Source organism: Homo sapiens, chromosome 11 (genome assembly GCF_000001405.40).
Source record: "Homo sapiens chromosome 11, GRCh38.p14 Primary Assembly".
NCBI lineage: Eukaryota > Metazoa > Chordata > Mammalia > Primates > Hominidae > Homo > Homo sapiens.
The window spans coordinates 59,107,222-59,127,792 of record NC_000011.10 but is presented as its reverse complement, the minus strand read 5'-3'; the positions used below and the strand labels follow the sequence as shown (position 1 = coordinate 59,127,792).

General features: G+C 38.8%; 1 protein-coding gene across 3 annotated transcripts, besides 1 other annotated feature; it reads right to left on the bottom strand.

Annotated features, from left to right (window-relative positions):
* FAM111B (FAM111 trypsin like peptidase B) lies at window positions 381-20,556 on the bottom strand. Of its 3 annotated transcripts, NM_198947.4 has the most exons (4): window positions 20,497-20,556; window positions 19,081-19,125; window positions 18,087-18,253; window positions 381-3,614 (listed from the first exon to the last, which is right to left on the bottom strand). In NM_198947.4, exons 3-4 carry the CDS (start codon window positions 18,165-18,167, stop codon window positions 1,491-1,493), a joined length of 2,205 nt encoding a protein of 734 aa, NP_945185.1. In that variant the 5' UTR covers window positions 18,168-18,253; window positions 19,081-19,125; window positions 20,497-20,556; the 3' UTR covers window positions 381-1,490. The 3 variants fall into 3 exon arrangements, with proteins under 3 accessions (NP_945185.1, NP_001136175.1, NP_001136176.1); NM_001142703.2 differs by lacking the exon at window positions 18,087-18,253; NM_001142704.2 differs by lacking the exons at window positions 18,087-18,253; window positions 19,081-19,125.
* Window positions 19,388-19,437: an enhancer, noted in NCBI's record as "active region_4745". NCBI's record gives its function as "activates an Ori minimal core promoter by ATAC-STARR-seq in GM12878 lymphoblastoid cells {active_cell/tissue: GM12878}" and the evidence as "EXISTENCE:reporter gene assay evidence [ECO:0000049][PMID:35858748]".

Genomic DNA, 20,571 nt, shown 5'->3' with positions numbered 1-20,571 from the left:
TGGCCATTTGCAATGGAGGTTGATGTCACAGGTGGCATGGAAGGAAATAAATTATGTTTACCAAATAATTTTGGGTTGTAGAGGAACTATACATATTTTTTCCATATTTAAGTGTATTTACCACTATCTAGTTAGGCAGAGAACAAAAACCACCTTGCCAGTAATGAAGGTGTACCACCCTAGGCATTTAGAAAAACAAATAACAAATTATTTTTAAGTGTAAAAGTGAGCTAAGCACTTTAAGTGAGGCTTGAAAAAGCCAAGATAAACAAAATCAGTATTTGAGCTCTAATACATGTTTTGCACATCCACATAATTCTCTAAAAGTTTTCTAAGTAGGAAATTTTATTAAAGGAAACAGCCTCCAATACTCTAAATTATTGGCATTATATATATTTTAAACTTTTATTTAGGTTTAAGAGTCCATGTGCAGTTTTGTTATATAGGTAAACTGCATGTCACCAGGGTTTTGTGTTCAGATTATTTCATCACCCAGGTAATAAGCATAGTACCCCATAGGCAGTTTTTCAGTCTTCACCCTCCTCCCACCCTCCACCCTCAAGTAGGCCCCATATCTGTTGTTTTCTTCTTTGTGTCCATGTGTACTCAATATTTAGCTTCCACTTATGAGAGAACATGTGGTACTTGGCTTTCTGTTCCTGCATTAGTTCGCTTAGGATAATGACCTTCAGTTCCATCCATGTTGCTGCAAAGCACATGATCTTGTACTTTTTTATGGCTGTGTAGTATGCTATGGTGTATATGTGTCACATTTTCTTTATCCAGTCTACCATTGATGGGCATTTAGGTTGATTTCATGTTTTGCTATTGTGAATAGTGCTGCAGTGAACATATATGTGCATGTCTTTATGGTAGAACAATTTATATTCCTTTGGACATATACCCAGTCATGAGATTGCTGGCTTGAATGGTAGCTGTTTTAAGTTCTTTTAGAAATCACCCAACTGCTTTCCACAATGGCTGAACTAATTTATTTTCCCACTAGCAGTGTATAAGCATTCCCCTTTCTCTGCAACCTCGCCAGCATCTGTAATTTTTTGGCATTTTAATAACAGCCATTCTGATTAGTGTGATGGCATTTTTTTGATTTGCATTTCTCTAATGATTAGTGATATCAGGTATTTTTTCATATCCTTGTTGGCCATGTGTATATCTTCTTTTGAAAAGTGTTTGTTCATGTCCTTTGCCCACTTTTTAATGGGGTTGCTTGTTTTTTTTGCTTGTTAATCTGTTTAAGTTCCTAATGGATTCTGAATATTAGATCTTTGCTGTATGCATAGTTTGCAAATATTTTCTCCCATTCCGTAGGTTGTGTGTTTACCCTGTTGATAGTTTCTTTTGCTGTGCAGAAGATTTAATTAGGTCTCATTTGCCAATTTTCACTTTTGTTGCAATTGCTTTAAGTGTCTTTGTCATGAAATCTTTGCCAGGAATTATTGGCATATTTTCTTGAAGACAGCATCTCTTTTCTAACATTCCATGGGTTCAATCTGATGATCTTGAAGTGATGACTCTTGTTTACCTTTCTCTTCATCGTAGGTCTCAAGTTTCTCATCATTTAATGATTTATACAAGCTCTCATTTGTCTTTTTAATATCACAAAGAATAGAATCCATAGAATAACCAAATTCAATAAGGGCATGCACATTAAATCCTCGTTGATAAAAAAGCCCAAAGGTATGCAAAGCAACCAATTTGCCAGATGCATTAAACACTGGGGAGCCTGAGGACCCATCAGAGAAACAAGTATCATAACTAAGCGTGTGTGTGTTCCAAACCTCTGATAGGAAACTTCTTTGGGTAAACATACAGTATACATTACTGGTGGTATCATAGAGATCTACCAACCCATCTTGACAATCGTTTGGATATTTTTTCAATCGTTCGTTTAGAGGAATCACAGTACAACCATCTATTTTCTTGATCTGGCCTTCAGGATGACCAATTAAATAAATCAAACCAGTAGATGGTTGAGGAGAAATCTGTCGCCATAGTCCTGGAGGAAACGCATTTCCATTTTCTTTTAGTTTTAAAATGGCATAATCTAGATTTTCATTGGACACTTTAAGCCATGGCTCAATGGAAAACCAATTGTCAGGAGTAGGGCAGAACTCTGTATAAGTGAAGGTTACCTTCGCACATTTGCTAATTATATCTGGCCACAAACTTGGATGTGTGTTTTTACCCACCATAAGATGTACAACATGTCGACAGGTGAAAATATAACCACCATTGAAGACAAAGCAAGTAGCATTACCTGTGTTTCCATTATTGTCCCATTGCATGAACCCAACTGACTTGCTATAATATGTAAGCTGTTCGCAGGTTGCAACTGAAACAGAATTTGCAGTCATTTTTCCGAAGTCCTTTTTATATATGTTGAATTGCTTAGCTGGTGAAAGATTCATTCTCTTTTGTTCTTCCCGAAAATATTTTCTTACCCACTGTGCCTCCTCTTTAAAATTCGGATACTGATGCATTATGGCTTCATTCAACGTTTGATAATTCTTTAAGAGATTAATTGCCTCCTTTTGGACATCCAGATTAATAGCATACCGCCTACCCAGATGCGGCCTCCGTCTAACTTGTGAGTTTATTTGCCTATATTTTCGGGGCAAACTACAAAAGTAATAATTTCTAATCCTGGGAATTGTCTGGCGAGTTTTATCTTTAATATAATGGCTTAGATCCTGAGGTGGGAGAATTTGCTCTCTGCTGTGTTCTACATCTTTGGTCTCTCCATCTTTCTTTGGTTTGTGGACTTTTTTCTTAGACTGTATCAGACTCTGGTGATTAATTTCATCAGTGGCACTTTCATTCTGTTTAATTTTTTTATGGATATCTTTCTGTTGTAATGCTTTTTTTTTTGAAATGTCCATTTCTAAGACTTTTCCAGATACTTCATCCACCATGGACTGTTTTCCATAAATTTTCTTATGACCTTCCTTTAGTTTCCATTCAAATTCACCTATGTCAGACCGAAAACGGCCATCCTTGCATAAGGCTCCTTCAATAGTCTCACCCTTCAAGGCATAAATACAAAGTTTACTTCCTTTTTCATGAAGTTCGTTGATCTTAACAATCTTCTTTCTTGTCCTTCCTATAGCAACAACATGAAAAAGAATGCATTCCATGTTTGGATTTTCACATTGGCGTAATATGTGTCCATCTTCTTTGCTACTCTTTCTTTGACCAAATGTAATTTTAAAATGAGAATCACTAGGCAGGCACTTGAGAGGCATTCCTAAATTTATATGTCCATCTATTGTCTTTTCTTCATAAACAATAATGTTCTTATTAAACTGATTCTTTATCCTTTCACTGAAATAGTCATTAGCACTCAGGGCTGAGTAGATACTCTCGCTGGGTTTACCATATGCTGTAAACACACTACGGTCTAATTTTCTGGAGTTTCCATTCAACGTAAAGGTGAAACAACATTCTTTATTGTTCAAATTTGGATTCTGCATTTCAAGGGCTGTTTCATGCTTGTTGACTTCACTTTTAAGCTTAAAGGTGCTGCTACACTTTCTTATGCCAGATAGACAATGATCAACAGGTGTGTCAGCATGTGTCTGCTTCATGACAGTATCCTTAAAAAGGAAAGATTAAAGAGGTTAACAAGAATCACCTTTAATAATGTTTTATATTTTTCTAATGATAGAACTAATAGATATTATGAATAAAAATTAGATAATATAATGGTTAACGAATAATGGAGAAAAAATCAATCACTATTCTATCAATTTAGATACTCATTCTACACTTTATTTTAATTTTTAATTTTTTTTCTCTGTATACTTTGATTTTGTTTTCTGATTCTTAAAAGTAGTACTTTGATTTTCAACAAGGGTCTTAAGACCATTTAATGGGGGAAATATCATCTTTGTAACAAATGTGGCTAGAATAACTGGATATCCAGATGCAAAGAAATGAGTTGGACTCCTACCTTTTACCTAACTTGAAATGGATCAGAAACAGCCCTCTATTATTTCATATGCAGATCTAAATCTTATGTTTCTTAAATACTATGATGCATGTGACTTTATTTTTCACTAGGCAATGTGTCACTACTTTGTGCAGTAAGCAAACTTTGAAACCACAAGTTGAGGGGCTACAGAATATTTCACTGTATAATAATTTGTAATCCATCCTTTCATTGCTGAATATTTAGATTATTTCCAGATTCTTATTCTAAATATGACAAAACTTCCTACAAACATAACATTTTTGTGTGCACATCTGAATATTTCCCTAGGTCATATTCCCAGGAGTGGAAATACCGCAACTGAGGATGTAAACATCTTTTGCAACATATATTCTGCCTAACTGCCTTCCAGAGAATTGTATCAACTCACCCCATCTCTTCTCTCCAGCTGCTCAAGGAGACCAACCTCAATCCTATGGTTGATTCCTTAAAAGGATTTGAGTGTTACTATTTTAAATATTTGCCAATTGATAGATAAAATTCTGTCTAATTTGACTGTTTTTAGAATGTACATTTATTCACTTACTAGTGAAGGTGGACTTACTTATCTTTTAGATATTTGAAAGATCACCTTTCAAGGATTCCCATTAAAAATCTGTTTAGTTTCTGTTCTGTCAATGGTTTTGACAGCACTAAGAAAATATATTAAAATGGCAGATAAATAATAGGATGGGATATATAAATAAATATAAATACTCATATACAATCAGTTGGTAGTAGCCCAGGATACAAGATATTGAGAATCTGATGGCAACAGAAATGAAAAACATAAGTAAAAAATATTATATGACAAGAGTCAACATAACTTGGAAGGAAATCATTGTGAAGTCTGAAGTATTGGATCTAGTCTATATAAATAGAGGAATAAGCCTGGAGAGAGTAAAATCAGGAGGTACAGCTCGGCTTGGATCATTTAGTAGGTAGGTGCAATGGAATGAGCTTAGGTCTTAGGAATAGTGATTTCCTTTTCGTCTTGGGGCTCTCCTATCACCTCATGTTTTCATATACTTATTGCCCAAATCTATCTCTGCAGCACTGACCTCTCATCTAAGCTCCAGATATTAATATTTTGTTGCCTCTTTGACATCTACTCTTGGATATGTCAGAGGCATTTCACTCTTAGCCCCTTTAAAACCAGAGTCATAAAATTTAATTGTGCCCCTCTTCCTGTGTTCTTGAATCTGATAATGGTGTCATTACACATTTGACTACTCAAGCTAGTATCCTGTGAATAGTCCTCAGCTTCTTCCTTTACCTCTCATATACTGTGTTTTTAAAAAACTGTAAAACATATTATGCATGCAAAAACATTTTATGACACCCTATATTTCATATACTAAACATCCATGTATCTCTTCCCAACCTAAGAAATAGCACACTACAAATCATTAGAGGCATACAGTGTGTCCCTCCTTCATCTTATCTTCCTTTCTCATTCTCATGGACAACCACTAAGTCTGAATTTGTTTTAAAATTATCATTGTCTTACACTTATTTAGGGACATATACATATGTAGTAAAAGTATAAATAGTACACTGTTTCATTTTGCTGGTTTTGATTTTATATAAACAGATCCAGCTGAATATGTTCTTCTGTGATTTGCACTACTTATTTATTTTATTTTATTTATTTATTTTTTTTGAGACGGAGTCTCGCTCTGTCGCCCAGGCTGGAGTGCAGTGGCACAATCTCGGTTCACTGCAACCTCCACTTCCCAGGTTTAAGCAATTCTCTGCCTCAGCCTCCTGAGTAGCTGGGATTACAGGTGCATGCCACCATGCCCAGCTAATTTTTGTATTTTTAGTAGAGACGGGGTTTCACCATTTTGGCCAGGCTGGTCTTCAACTCCTGACCTCATGATCCACCTGCCTCGGCCTCCCAAAGTGCTGGGATTACAGGTGTGAGCCACTGCGCCCGGCCTGCACTACTTTTCTGAGGTTCATTCTAGTTGATGAAATTCTGTATCCATTTTTACAGTTAGAATTCACTGAAGAAACAAACTGTTTGTGAATATTTCTGTTATTTCTGGGGTTTTTCTAATAAAAGCAGTGGCTAATTTTGCTATGAATATCCTCAAATATGTTTCGTGGTGCACATCTACAAGGGTGTCTCTCAAGTATAGACTTAGAAGTGGAATTGCTCAACTTCAGAAATAGATTTTATCAATAAATATTTGAAGACATGAGGCAGTAGGAGAGCAATGAGAAAAAGAAAATGAGTAATCATCTTTATTATAATAGATATTGCCATATTATTTAACATAATGGTTGTACCACCTTGCACTTGCACCAATGAGAAATGAGAGTTCTCATTATTCTATGTCTTTATCAAAGCTTGGTGTTATCCATATTTTAATGTTTACCAATCTTGTGGGTGTGAAATAGCATCTTACTGAGGGTTTAAACAGTAGTTTCCTAATTACTAATGAAATTGAACCCTTTTTCACACTTCAGTCTCTAAAATGCTTGTTTATGTCTTTTGTTCATTTTTATACTGGATTATTTTTCTTTTTATTATTGATTCTAGGAGTATTTTAAATATTGTAGACACAAATTGTTTATTCATCATATGTGTTAAACATCTATTCTGAATTTCTTCTTGATTTTTCATTCTCAGGTGTCATAAAGGAGTTAATTTTAATGTTGTCAAGTTTATTAATCTTTTTATACCATTAGAACACCTTTCACAGGATAATTGTTTTTTTTTTTTTTTTCAAAAAATTGTAAAGGTTGCTTTTACCATTCAAGTTTTTAATCTGGAATTATTTTTTGTACATAGCTTCAAGTAGGTATCACTTTTTATTTTTTGCATGTGGATAACTAATTACTCCAGCGATGCTGACTGAATTGTTCATTCTTTCTCCACTGATCTGTACTGTCAGTTTTGCCACATAAGATTGTTATGGGTTGAACTGTGTCCCCTCAAAATTCACATTACAGTCCTAATCCCTAGTACCTCAAAATGTGATACTTATTTGGATATGCAGTTCTTGTTGATATACTTAGTTAAAAATGAGGTCACACTGCAGTAGGATGGGCCTCTAATCCAATACCCTTGATATCCTTAGAAAAGGTGGAAATACAGACATAGACATACACAGAGGGAAGATGAGGTAAACAGCCATAGGAAAAACATGGCCAACTACAAGCTAAGGAGAGAGTCCTGGAACAGATCTTTCCCTCACAGCCCTAACAGGTCACAAACTCTGCTGACATCTTGACCTTGTACTTTGAACCTCCAGAATCATGAGACAATGCATTTCTGTTGTTTAAGCCAAACAGTCAGTGGTACTTTATTACCCCTAAGAGACTACATAGTCTGGACTTTTCTAAGAAAATACATTATGTAGAGCCCTCATTATCTAATCACCCATCAAAGCCCCATCTCTTAATGCCATCACCTTGGAGATTAGGATTTAAACATATGAATTGTGGGGGACGCAAAGATTCACACCATAGCACAAACTAATACAAAGATATTGTCACATCTTGAAATTTGTGAGTCTGTCTCTACTCTCTCTGTTCTATTCCAATGGTATATTTTTCTGTATATTCATGAAATATTGTCTTAATTTTGAATTTTTCTACTCATTAGTATATCTTGACATTGATTTATGTCTCATTTTCATGCCTTCAGCAAAATAATTTTCTCCATAAATGGTTAACAAATAATTTTTACATTTATTTCCAGGTAAATAATATTTTTCTAGGCATTATAAAATAATTTTTGATGATTACATTTTCTGATATTGCTGACTAAGCTAAATCCATTGTTTTGTAAATATCAACCTTAACCCTAGCCAATATGCTACTTTACAATCATTCTAATATTTTATCTATAAATATTTTTTGTTTCAAAAATAGATATGATACCATCTGTGGATATTTCATGAATATGCTTTGTTCCCTTCTTTTCAATTCTCAAATATTATATTTTACTATTTTTTCTTATCACACTGCATTGGCTAAATTAAATTTTATTTACCAGCTAAATAAAGGCAGTAATAGTGAGCACTCCTCTATTCTCCCTCATTATAAGGGAAATACTTATAATGATTCATTATTTAACATGATATTCCCTGTGAGATTTTTGAAGATGCTCTTAATCTGGCTAAGAAAACTTCTGGTATGTTTATATTTATGTATTTGATAGTAATAGGGGCAGCCAAGATAAAGTAAGCCCATTATAGCCCATTATTTCCACTAATTAAAACTAAAGCCTTTGGAAAAATAAAAAAAAGCAGCATCCTGAGCTTCTACTTTGGCCACCATGGAATAACATAGAACTAATTTACACTCCTGCCTGAAAATCCTGGAGAAATGGACAAAATATACAAAATGGTTTCCAAGACATTGAGCATTAGTCAAAGAAGGACAGTGACACCTGAGAAACGGAAAAACAATGATGCAAACTCTATGACTGCCCCAGCTTACTGCCTGAAAAGAGGTTCTAGGCCATGGTGCAGGGAAAATAATCCAGGCAACGCTCAGTAGCAGCTGAGTTGAGGAAAAGGAACCAAGTTCTGGGAAGCCAATGGGTTTAGCTTTCAAAGGGCATGAGAGGACTGTACAGAGAGGGTCCCCATTAAGTCTTCAGATGACTAGTGATCCGCACATGCATGTGAGGAAATCACCTAAGTCAGGGAAATCAGCTACCCAAAAATATTAGAAGGAACAATCCCTGGAGATCTTACAGGGCTGGGAATAGTTGCTGTTCCCACCAGACATAGGGAAAACATCATAATTCGTGAGGCATTGAGTACAATACTAAAAAGAACATTGCCTCAGCAATAGGGATATATTAGCTCTGTAATATACAGGCAAAACATTACAATAAAAGAAAACTACAGACCAATATAAACATAAATGCAAGAACTAATAGGTAAATACCAGGAATGCAAGGTTGGTTTAATTTTGAAAAATATATCACTGTAATAAGCCAATTAGAATAATTAAAATTTCTATATATACACAGAATCATCTCAACAGACATAGAGAAAGTATTTGGTAAGCCTGACATCTATTTCTAATAATATCAGCAACCTAGGAATAAAAGGAAACTTCTTCAATCTTATGAAGAACAGTTATGAAAAACTTACAGGTAACATCATACTTAATCGTGTAGGATTGAATGAATTCCCAAGACTAGAAAAAACACAAGAATGTTTGCTCTGGCAGAATCTCTTCACCATTGTGATGGAAGTTTTAGCCAGTGCAATAAAAAACAGAAAGAAATAAAAGGCATCTGGATCAGAAAGAAATTAGTAAAATTATCTTAATTCACAGATGACAGGTAATCTATGAAGAAAACTCTGACAAGATATGCAAGACTTTTGTCCTAAAATATATTGTAGGAAATTAAACAAGACCTGGCTGCCTTCCCCACTTCAGGTTCTGCTGAGTGATCAAATGCAGCCTTCAGGAGCCCCCTTGGAACCAAGGGGAGGAGCAGGCTGGCAAGAAGAGGGATGCCCCAGGTCTGAAGGAGTGAGGCAGAAGAACAGGACCTGGAGGCAGGGAACCTAAGGATGATTCACACTCACTTCCTGGAACTGAATCAAAAGGAAAATTCCACCTCTCCACAGTCAAGTAACAAAAGGATCAGAGGCTCCTCCTTTTTGCAAATTATGCCCCCAACTCCCGCTTTCCACTGCATTGCAGATGAAACATGGAAAGTACCTCTAGTTGGTCCTCTCCTGCAACCAGTGAAACTGGTTGTGGGCCACTACTTCATTTACATAGGGTGTAAACAAATTAACCAATGAGAAACCTCTAGAGGGTATTTAAATCCCAGAAAATTCTGCAACCAGTGCTCTTGAGCCCCTTGCTCAAGCCTGCTCCCACTCTGTGGAGTGTACTTTCACTTCAATAAATCTATGCTTTCGTTGCTTCTTTCTTTTGCTGCTTTGTTTGTATGTTTTTACTAAGTTTTTCTTTAAAATGCCAGGAACCAGGACAACTTTTAGTCAAGACCCTCCACTGGTAACAGGAGGAAGATTGGGGAGTCACTCTCTCACTCCCAAACCTCAGAAGAAGGCTTTGCCTGGGGTGCGGATTCCTTGAGGGCCATGACAGGGTACTAAGTGGCCTGAGGATTCAGTGCCAGTCCCAGCTTGCCCTGTGAAACCTCTGAGGGAGGTGGTAGGGTCCAGAGGGAGGAAGCACACATCCAGGCTCTGCTACATGTACCACCCACTGTGTGACCTTGGGCTACTTGTTTAACATCTCTGATCTGTGCTTGGTAAGTGAGATAATATATGTGAAAGGCCAGGCTCTTATGGGGACCCTTGATAAGTGTGAAGGGGGTGGAACCTTTTGGGGTAATCATACTTGCATCCCTAAAGGAGCCTTGAAAAACCTGCCCTCCTCCTACTCTCCTCAGAAACTATCAAAAAAGCAAATGTGCGAAACAAATGTAATTGTTCTTTCCACATTTTGATGGGACCTGAGTTCCTAAGGAGGCAGTACAGAAAAGTCCCCATGCCAAAAAAGAGTGGAAGTGGAAGGAGGGTCTAGGGATAGCAAATTCCAACTCAAACATGTCTCTTCCTTTCCAAGGTTGTGGGAAAGTATGTGGTAGTGATGGTGGGTTTTCTGCTTAAGGTATAGCAAGATCTCTAACTAAATAGGGTAAATGAAATATCTGGCTCATTCAGAGGGCAGGCAGCTCCCCTGTGACTTTACCCAAAGACATTCAAAGCAACTGCACGTAGTTTGTTTTCCCTCTAAGTGAGAAAGGGGTAAGGTTACAATTGTGTGTGCATCTCCCATTGAGATGTTCACCTGATTCTATCACTGCCTCAGAGACCTGGTAAAAATCCTGGGGCTTGTCAAATGGAGAAAGGGATGCCCAGGTCCAGAAGGGCTTTGCCCATGACCTCTCACGTTCAGAGTCTACTGGAGAGCCAGGACTCCACCTGCCTGACAGTCCCAGTCTGGGTCTGAGTTCTTGCCACCATTCTGCATCAGAATCACCTGGGGGTTTCTTGAAACAAAGATTGCTGAGCCCTAACCCAGAGGATCTGACTTAATATATCTGGGTTGAGGCTGCAGTTTGTGTTGATTCTGCCATCCTAGGGTCCAGGCTTTGAGAACCCCTGACTTAAGGCAAAGGACAGCTGACCAGGCCTAGCTACCTTAGCTCCTGTCTACTCTGAGGCCTTTCCTTGATGGCCCTCAACTGCCTTCTCCTCAGTTAAGAGTCCTAGAAGCCAGTCACTCTTCCCTCTATAGCTCTGGGCTCCAGAAGAGGGGCTCAAATGGAAAAGGAGGACCTGGCTCTTTTGAATGTCCCTTCACTGAGCCCTAGAATGCTCTGTGGAAAGGGCCTTTGGGACACAGAATTTCACCTTACCAGGAGGGGAGTGTCTAGAATTAAAATTAGAATAAATTATTGGATTGGGTAATCTGCACTCACTGTATGCGTTGTAAGAGTTCATGTGTGGTCAGGCATATTTGGAGATGCCTGTTACTCTTTGTTGGTAAGAATAAAAGAGTTTTGAATCAGCAGAATTTAGAGCAACATGTTCTGTCAGCAAGTTACCTAGAGAAGCAGAAATGACTGAGGAATAATAAGGAGGAAGTGACTAAGGCCCAGGACACAAGCAAGAGTCTAGGTGGAATCTGAGTAGAGATTCTAAGATTCTGGAGTCTTCTATGTACCTTCTCAGTCTCGAGGCCTTGGGGCAGAGCAGGAATTGACCACATTCACAGCATTCCCAAAGTGAGATTATGCCCAACCCCTGTCAAGATAGCCAAAGAGGCAGATAATGCACCGGGAGGTAAATATCCAAGTGAAACAGAGTAGGGACGGGACTCTGCCTCCACCACTAATAATGCATTTTTCCACACCCGCTGACTACCAGAACTTGCACCTCCACTGGTGCCATCCTCACTGGCTGTAAGACCTTAAAGAAACTAAGATAAGAAGCATTCTACCATAAATCTCATTCAAGGGAGTTAACTTTATTGCTTGCATGCACACAGGACTTTACCTCATTGCTTGCCTCATTATAATGTGAAAATCCCCACCCAGGGAGGGGCTTATCCACCATTTTTTGATCATGTGATGTAAGTACTAACATGATATCTCACTGGGCCTGCACACTCTACACTCCACCCAACACATGCAATGATATTAGCATACATCATGCTTTTCATGTCACCATGTTTAAAACAGCAAAAAGACCTCTCCTTGGGGAGCCATCTGGAGAACTCTCACTCCAGTGCTGTCTCCCTTGTATTCAAGAATAAGCCCCTAATAAAGCCTTGTCTGGGAAACTCACTTGGCCTTGTGTCAATTTCTATTGCATGGGAGACTAAAAACTTGTGGCTGGTAACACAAGAAGCTGGGTGTTTTAGTGTGATGGATGCCACAACAGTGGCAAAGATGGGGAACTGGATGACAGGGTGGGACCTGCAGGTGTTAAAAGCAGAAACAGCATGGATATGAGTAGTGGGTTCTGGAACAGCACAGAACCTTCCTATTCCTTGACTTTCTGTAACTTTTCTCCAGATTGTAACAGACTCAACCCTTGTCTTTCCCTGGCCCCTACTTCTAAGCCTGGCCAGGATTGGGGAAAGAAGAATAGCATAAAGAAAGAGAGAAAGTGGCCCCCATCCCACCTCTCTGACCCCTCTTGTCTGATGAGGAAAACCCAGGCATGTTCCTTAGAGAATTCCAAGTCTAATGGAAGGGACACAGGTACTGATTAGTGAGTCAACAAGCACTAGACCTATTGGTCAGTCAACAAGCACCCTCCCATCTCTGAACCTTTGTACTTGCTGTTTTCTCTATCTTCAATGTTGTTCCTCTAGATATTTCCATCTAGGACTCACCTCCTCACTCCTTTCAGGTCTCAGATATCACCTTATCAGAGAAGCCAATTATCATCACTTCCAAAACAGCCTCCGCCATTCTCTTTTCCCTTCTGCCCATATCAAAACACACACACACACGTGCATGCACACACACAAACACACACAATTTATTTTTCCTTTCTCCCTCTACAGTGTCAGCTCCAAGAGAACAAGGATACCACTGTATTCACTGGTATATCCTTGGTACCTGTGACGTACCAGGCACGTAGGTTTGCAAGAAATGTTCATTGAATAAATGATCAAAGTGATTGAATGAATATCTACTATGTACTCACCACTGTCCTGGCCAATTAGAGACAAGGAAGAAAAAGGCGAAGTTCCTGTCAGTGCTAAGGTGCTTGGGTTTTAGGGTCAAAACCTACTTGTCATTTCTGCTCCCTCTCTGGCCTCCACAGTTTAAGCCCTACATTCTCCATCTCTCTTTTCCTTCACACCTCTCATCCACTCCATCCCCTCCTCTCTGCCCCTTCAGCTCCCAGTCTCAGGCCACTGCAGGCCCCCTCCTCTTTAGCCTGGATGTTTTTGGAATAGCCTCCACTCTCAACTCTTCTATCCCTTCAAGCATCTTCCCATCCCCTCTTTTCCAAGGCCCATGGGGCTAGAGTGTTCTGGCCCCTGTCCACCCCTCCCTCTGCCCCACCTTCTGCTGCTCAGCTCCTCTCCCCTTGGTCCCAGCTACAGTGATCACTCAGGCCCTGGACAGGAAGCCTTAGCCATTCTCAGGGCTTGTGCATTCACCATTCTGTCTGGCCTTCCCTTGGGTGTCTTCAGGGCCACTTCAGAGGCCTCTTGACTTCCCTAGCCGGAGCAGCACTCCAAGGCACACACTTGCCACTTTCTGTTACCTTTGTATGTTCTTGATCCACTAGCGAAAACTTTCTATTTGTCTGTTTCCTGGATAATCTCTTTCACTCTTTAAAATGTAAGGTTCACAAGAGCTGGGACTCTGTCCTTCTTTCACATGCCTAGTCCCTAAAGTAGAAGCTGGTCAGTAAAGTTTGCCGAGGGGCCAGGTTTCAAATGCATTCTGAACAAATGCCTCCCCTCTGTTTTCTGTCAAATTGGAAAACACTTCCCTCTAGGTGTGGTGAGACTCCCATAAGATGTGTCTAATGTGCCGGGCAGACTGTTGCATCTGGCATACATAAGTCCCAATAACTTATGATCTTGACCATCCAGTTTCCAGGGGACTCTAAGTCTGGGGGACGCTGATAGAGACGTGACTCCATCTGTGCAGAGCTTTTGTCTGGGGAGGGAGATTCCAGTGCTAGAGGTTTCTCTTTTGAGGAGTTTATGTAGGGTGGAGGAAGCAAGGGTTTCTCGTCAAAGGGGCAAGACATACTCCAGAGACCCAGAGGTAATAGCAGCCACTCACAGTTCTCTGGACAATCTTAAAGCTGCATGATGTCAGGATGACTAACCTCTGTCACTTGTGCCTTGTACTTCTGATCTTTCTAGTTCTCACCTTGTCTGGTGGCCTTGGAGAGAATAATGCACCAGTCACATTGCCCCTTCAATCACCCACTCCCTGCTCTGCCTTCATCCACCAGGTTTGCCTATTCTCCCAGGTACCCCACAGCAAAAGAAATTAAACAAGACCAAAATAAATGGAGAATATATCTTGTTCAAGATTGGAAGACTCAACATGGTTAAGATGCTAATCATCCACAATTGTGTTAATTTTTTTACACAACACACAATTTACACAAACACACAAACTTTGATCCAGATATTGCACCATACAAAAAATAAATAAAACTTAAAATCAATTGCAGACTAAACCTAAAACTACAACTCTGGAAGAAAACTAGAAATGTTTTGTGATCTTAGATTTAGGACAGTTCTCTGATGTAAAAGCAAAAGCATGATCCACAAAGAGAAATATAGAGAAAGTGGACTTCATCAAAGTTGAAAACTTTTCCCTCCCGAAACAGGAATAAAAGGATGAAAAGACAAGCCACACAGAGATAAAATATCAGGAATTATCACAAATATTATGAGAAAAGCAATATGACAAAGGACTTGTTTCCAAAATATGTAAAGCCCTCTCAAAACTCAGCAATAACTAACAAGTATAAAATGGGAAAAATATTTTAATAGACACTTCACCAAAGATATGTGGATGATATAAACACATGAAAAGATGCTCAAATCATGAGTCATAGTGAAATACAAATTAATACCACAAAACGATGCCATTACATACCTATGAGAATGAATAAATCAGAAAAACTTTGTGTTGACAAGAATATGAAACAACTGGAACTCTCACACATTGGTAACGAGGATGAGAAATCATACAGCCATTTTGTAAACATTTTGATAATTTCTTATAAAATTAAAGTTATGTCATACACTTTCCATGACAGCAATTCCACTGCTAGGTGAACCCAAGAGAAATGAAAACTAATCTTCATACAAAAACCTGCAGGCAAATGTTCACAACAGCTTTATATACAAAGTCCCCAAACTGGAAACAATTCAAATGTTCTTAAGGGAGTGAATGGATAAACAGATTTTGATACATTCACACAGTGGAATGCTACTCATCAATAAAAAGAAAAAACCTATCAGTGCATGCAACACTCATGAATCTTAAATGGAATGTTCTAAGTGAAAGAAGCCAGACTCAAAGGGTATGATTCAGTGTATGTTCCATTTATATGATGTTCTGGAAAAGTTAACACTAGAGTAATGAACAGATTAGTGGTTGCCAGGGACTGGGATGAATAGGGCACAAGTGGGGAGAACAGGAAATTATATAGAGTGATGGAACCACACAAGAAATTATTTAGGGTGATGGAACTGCTTTGCTTCTGGATTTTGGTCATGGTTACATTACTGCAGGCATTTGTTATAAGCCATTCAACTGTATACCAAAAAGACTGAATTTTACTGTATATGAAATACATAAATTTAAAGGAAACAATAAAAGTTAAAGCCTTTCAAATAATCTGTAAGACAATTAATTGGGTGTGGGGGTTTTTGTGTTCATTTCTATCATCTTTTTTTGTATCTTCTACTTTTGCCACTTTTTCTGAATTTATATTCCCTTGCTTTGTTGCCTCCTTTACTTTGATTTTTCCCTCTCATTCTATTTTCTAGACGAACAGTTTGGCAGTTTTATACTCTAGTTCTGTTCTATAATTGGATGCCCTAGACTAGTACTGCCCAATAGAATGTCTGCAGTGACGGAAATGTTCTACATCTGCACTGTCTAATTCCACAGCCACATGTGGTTCTTAAGTACTTGACACGTGATATAACTGAGAATTTGTACTATTGACCTTTTTCATTATTTGATTTTAGTTAAGTTGAATTTAAATTTAAATTTACATAATCACATGTGATTAGTGGCAATTGTCTTGAACGAAATAGCCCTAATCATTTTAACATTAATATTTAACTTAACAAAGTCTTAAGTGAATTGAATAACTCCTCCTAAGCAATACAAAGATAAAGTCTGTAAACACATCTCCTTTATTTACAGAAGGAAATCCAAAAACCTACACATGGAATTCAAAGAAAAAAAAGATACTGCAGCTATTTTCCAGAAAGCTATTCTACCTCTCTCCCACTTTTTAGGAGCCATACACGTATGGAAATGAATTCATGACAGCTTAAGAATATCTATATGTGCCCTCTCAGTCACAAGGTTTTGTGTTGAAATGGGTGAGCTACTTAAGTTGGGACAATTAGATGGCAAAGAGAAGTTTCCTCAGGAAACCAGGATAGACTCATTATAGGGAGAGTAAAGCATCTGATATTACTGCAGCTCTATTTGTCACTATGCAGAAAGCCAGCCAGGGGATAACATGAAAAGCAGAACACAGAGACTGAACACACAAACAAGTCCTTAAAGAAACTGTATACCACTGAATTAAGAGCTCAGCTGAATTCTGGAATGTCCACTCATGTGAACCAGCGAATCCATTTTATTGTTTCACAATTAGAAAATATTTTTACTGGAAATGTGGAAAGCTCTTATTGATATAAAGCCTACTGTGATCTTGGCACCATACTACCTTACCAGTATAGAAAACAGTATTTGCCTACCATATTCTTGAATTCTCCTTATAAAGCATCAAATGCAGCTATCCTGTTCCCCAAATATGTTTTCCTGTGTACACGACTTTACTTAGGCCATTCCTTCATCCTTGATACACTAGTGAAATGTTATTCATTCTTTTTAAAAAATAACTTAGTTTTAGACATACAAAATGCATAATTAATGTACATAATTAATGTATGCAACTTGATGAGTATGGAGATACATTATCACCACAATCTATGCCATCAACCTATCTATCACCTCCCAAAGTCTCTTCCTGCCCTCTTATTATTTTTGTAATTAGAACACTTAACATAAGATCTATCATTTTAGCAAGAACTTGAGTATACAACAGTGTTATTAACTATAGGCACCCATGCTGTACAGATCCCTAGAACTTATTCACCTTGTATAAGGAAACTTTGTACCCCTTGACTAATACCTCCATTTTTCTCTATTCCCAGCCCAACAACCACTTCGACACCTATGAGTTTGACAATTTTAGATTTATTATTCATTAATAAATCATTTCTCATATGACGCTGCTGTAGTTTCCTAAGTCTGAATTAAGCATTCTTCTCTCTGTACTCTAAAATCACTTGTTTATGTCTCAATTTTGTATTATCATTTTGCATATTTTGAGCAAAATAGTGTGGGTCAAAAACCAGTCTCTGCAGTCTGATGGACTAGGTTTAAATCCTTGCTCTGAAGTCCATTACTTCTGCAACTATAAGCAAGTTGAGCTTCAGTTTCTTCTTTTATAAAATAAGTATGATAATAATACCTACTGCATAGTTCTATTAAGTGTTAAATGAGATAATACATATGATGGGACACAATTCTAGGCACACAGTGTTTCCTCAGAAAACATTAGCTAATTATTTTTGCCTGTCTACACTTTCCAAGACTTTAAGTGTCTATATTGTTTGTTAGTCATCTTGTTGTCTTAACATACGTTTAGCATTGTTAACTCTATCATTTTGCTTTCCACAAGCACTTATGTGTATGAGCTCCCCAAATATATTTTAAACTACCTAAGAGAAGGGCTTATAACGACCATTGTTTAAGAACTTATCTCCAAGATCCTCATATGGCACTATAGTTAGACTATCACTCCTCTGAGGAGTTGTAAAAAAGTAGATATACCTTTGAAACTTCAGGTCTAGTCCTCTGGTCATCTTCCATAGCGCTAAATGACTTGTTTTCTTCAGTCTTCATGGAATTCATGATGAGTTCAAAGAGAATGTAACTAACTTCTACTACTCGATAAGATGGAGAAACAAGGATTGAATTTATTCTGCCACCTGAAATGTCTAAAAAAACCAAAAAAACAAGATCTATGAAATAACCACTTTCAAACACTGGAGATCAGGTGGTGTGGGACCTCATCTCTGATATCTGAGAAGAAAATCATATGAGGTAAGCCCTATGGCTATTTAGCTTACTGTATGGAGTTTCCAAGGCATATCTTAGGAAGGAGAAACAGGCAGAGTCTAGTAGTTTCCCTGATTTGAGAAGACAAGCAAGGAGTTTTGGGAGGCCAAGATGACTGGAGCTTGTATGACAGAGTACTAGGGAGAAGACAGCCACAGGAGCACACAGTATGAGAGATCTGCAGTGGGTATCCCTTGAGATTTCAGCTTGGTCAATGCATGAGTGGAACGAAACTGTTGAAAAGGAACAGGAAAAGAAGTACCCAAAAGAAGCAGATGTAACAATTTCTGAGGCTCATACAGGACTGTGTATAATTTCAATTCCCAAAAATCCGACTAGAAAACTTCATAATTCATGAAGTATCAGGGAGACTACTCTGCAAGGTATTTCTTCCGCAGTAGGACAAAATTAGCCCTAGTTCTGCTCCCACCTAATAAATAAAAGCAAGCTTCGAAAGTATAAAATGGTTTCCATGTAAAATATGAACATACTAGAACAAAGCTCAAGAATATTGATAGGAATGTAAAAATTTCTGGCACCCAAAGTTGTGAAATTAACAAAGCTTGATATCTAATAAAAAAATCAGCAGGCACTTAAAAAGTGGATAAATATGACCCATAATGACTAGAAATATCAGTGAATAGAGACAGGTCCAGAAGTGAGAGAGAAGATAGAACTAGCAGTCAGAAACATTAAAAGTCATTACCTTGAATTTCTGGCCAAAATGGAGTAACAGGGACTGGATTTCCCCCTAGTATGAAAACAAAACAAAACAAAAAAGAGCAAAACATATGAAACAATGGTTTGCAAGGAACTGGACATTATGCAATTAAGGACAGTGACAATTGAAATGTATCCTATAATCCACTTTAGCAGACTACCTTGAGGAATTCCAGGCCAGTGTGGCAAGGAAGGGCAGCAAGACAAAACCAGTAGGAATTCCAGATTTAAGGAGACAAAGCTGAGAGACTAAGGTGACAAGAGGTCACAGGCCAAAGACATGGTGGGAGACCTGCACAGAGAGGGAACTCTGGATATATGAAGAGGGTTCCCCTAAAGCATTCAGCTGTGTACTGATCAGAGCAGCAGCTGAGAAAACTTTCCAAGGCCAGGAAAGAACCACCCTAAAACTGTCATAGTCTAACTTTCCACCAACCCTCTCCCTGTAACCCTTTTAGGGATCCCCATTTCCTCATTTCTAGATTAAGGACTTTGGCTCAGATGAAACTTTTATTGTTCGTGTGAATTGGTTCCTCTAAGCTTTTTAAAAAGGATTCCAGATCCCACCCTCACAGACTCTGATTCAGTATGTCGGGGTGTGGCTATGGAATCTGCATTTTTACCTGCCTCACTCCACAACCCCCGCCTCAAAGGCGCACCAAGTTCTTTGAACAGCTGCCTCTGTCACCGCAGGATGACCTCAATGCTTTCCTAAAGCCCCAGAACCTATGAAGGTAACCTGTGCTTGAAGCTGTGCTTGCTTACAGAAACAGAGACTGGATGTCAGTAACCACCGTGCTACAAGATGGGAAACGAACTTAGAAGCGCTACCCTAACCTGAATCCTTGCTGATTACCATACCTCAATCTGTGCCTCGGGGAGAAACGCAGCTTGCTAGGCACATGTAGTGTTGGGTGGCAACAGAAAATAGGAGACTGCCACACTCAGCTGTTTCTGGAAAGCCCCGTCTCTTTCCAGAAATCCTTGCTTTCCAACTACCTGCCCTAAAAGACCTTAAGAAGCACCCTCACACTACACTCCAGGCACTTTGAGCAGGAGCTCTCCTACTCCATTCCTTGATCAGTGAATAGTTTCTGCTCTGCTTAACCGAACCTGGTCTCCTTCTATGGGCGCGAACGGCACCGGGCAGGGAAAGGACCCACCAGGGTCAAACGACCCTCTCGAGATTCAGGAACACCCAGATGATCTCTAAGTATCTCTTCAGGAGTACAACTCTTGGCCTTTGAAGCTGAGACAGGGGGAAGGGAATTACAACGGGCGGCTGCCCAGCTCCCCATCCAAAACCCCCTTGACTTTGGGCTGAGGTCCTTCTGCCTACTGCCCTTGTCAGCCATCCCCCTAAGAACTCCAGGTCCGACCCGGGAAAAGAAAAACCACTCACAGAACCGGAGAGTCTGTCCACACGGTGCAAGTGCCCGTCAGTGCCCGCCGCTCTGGATTTGCAGGTGCTGGAAAG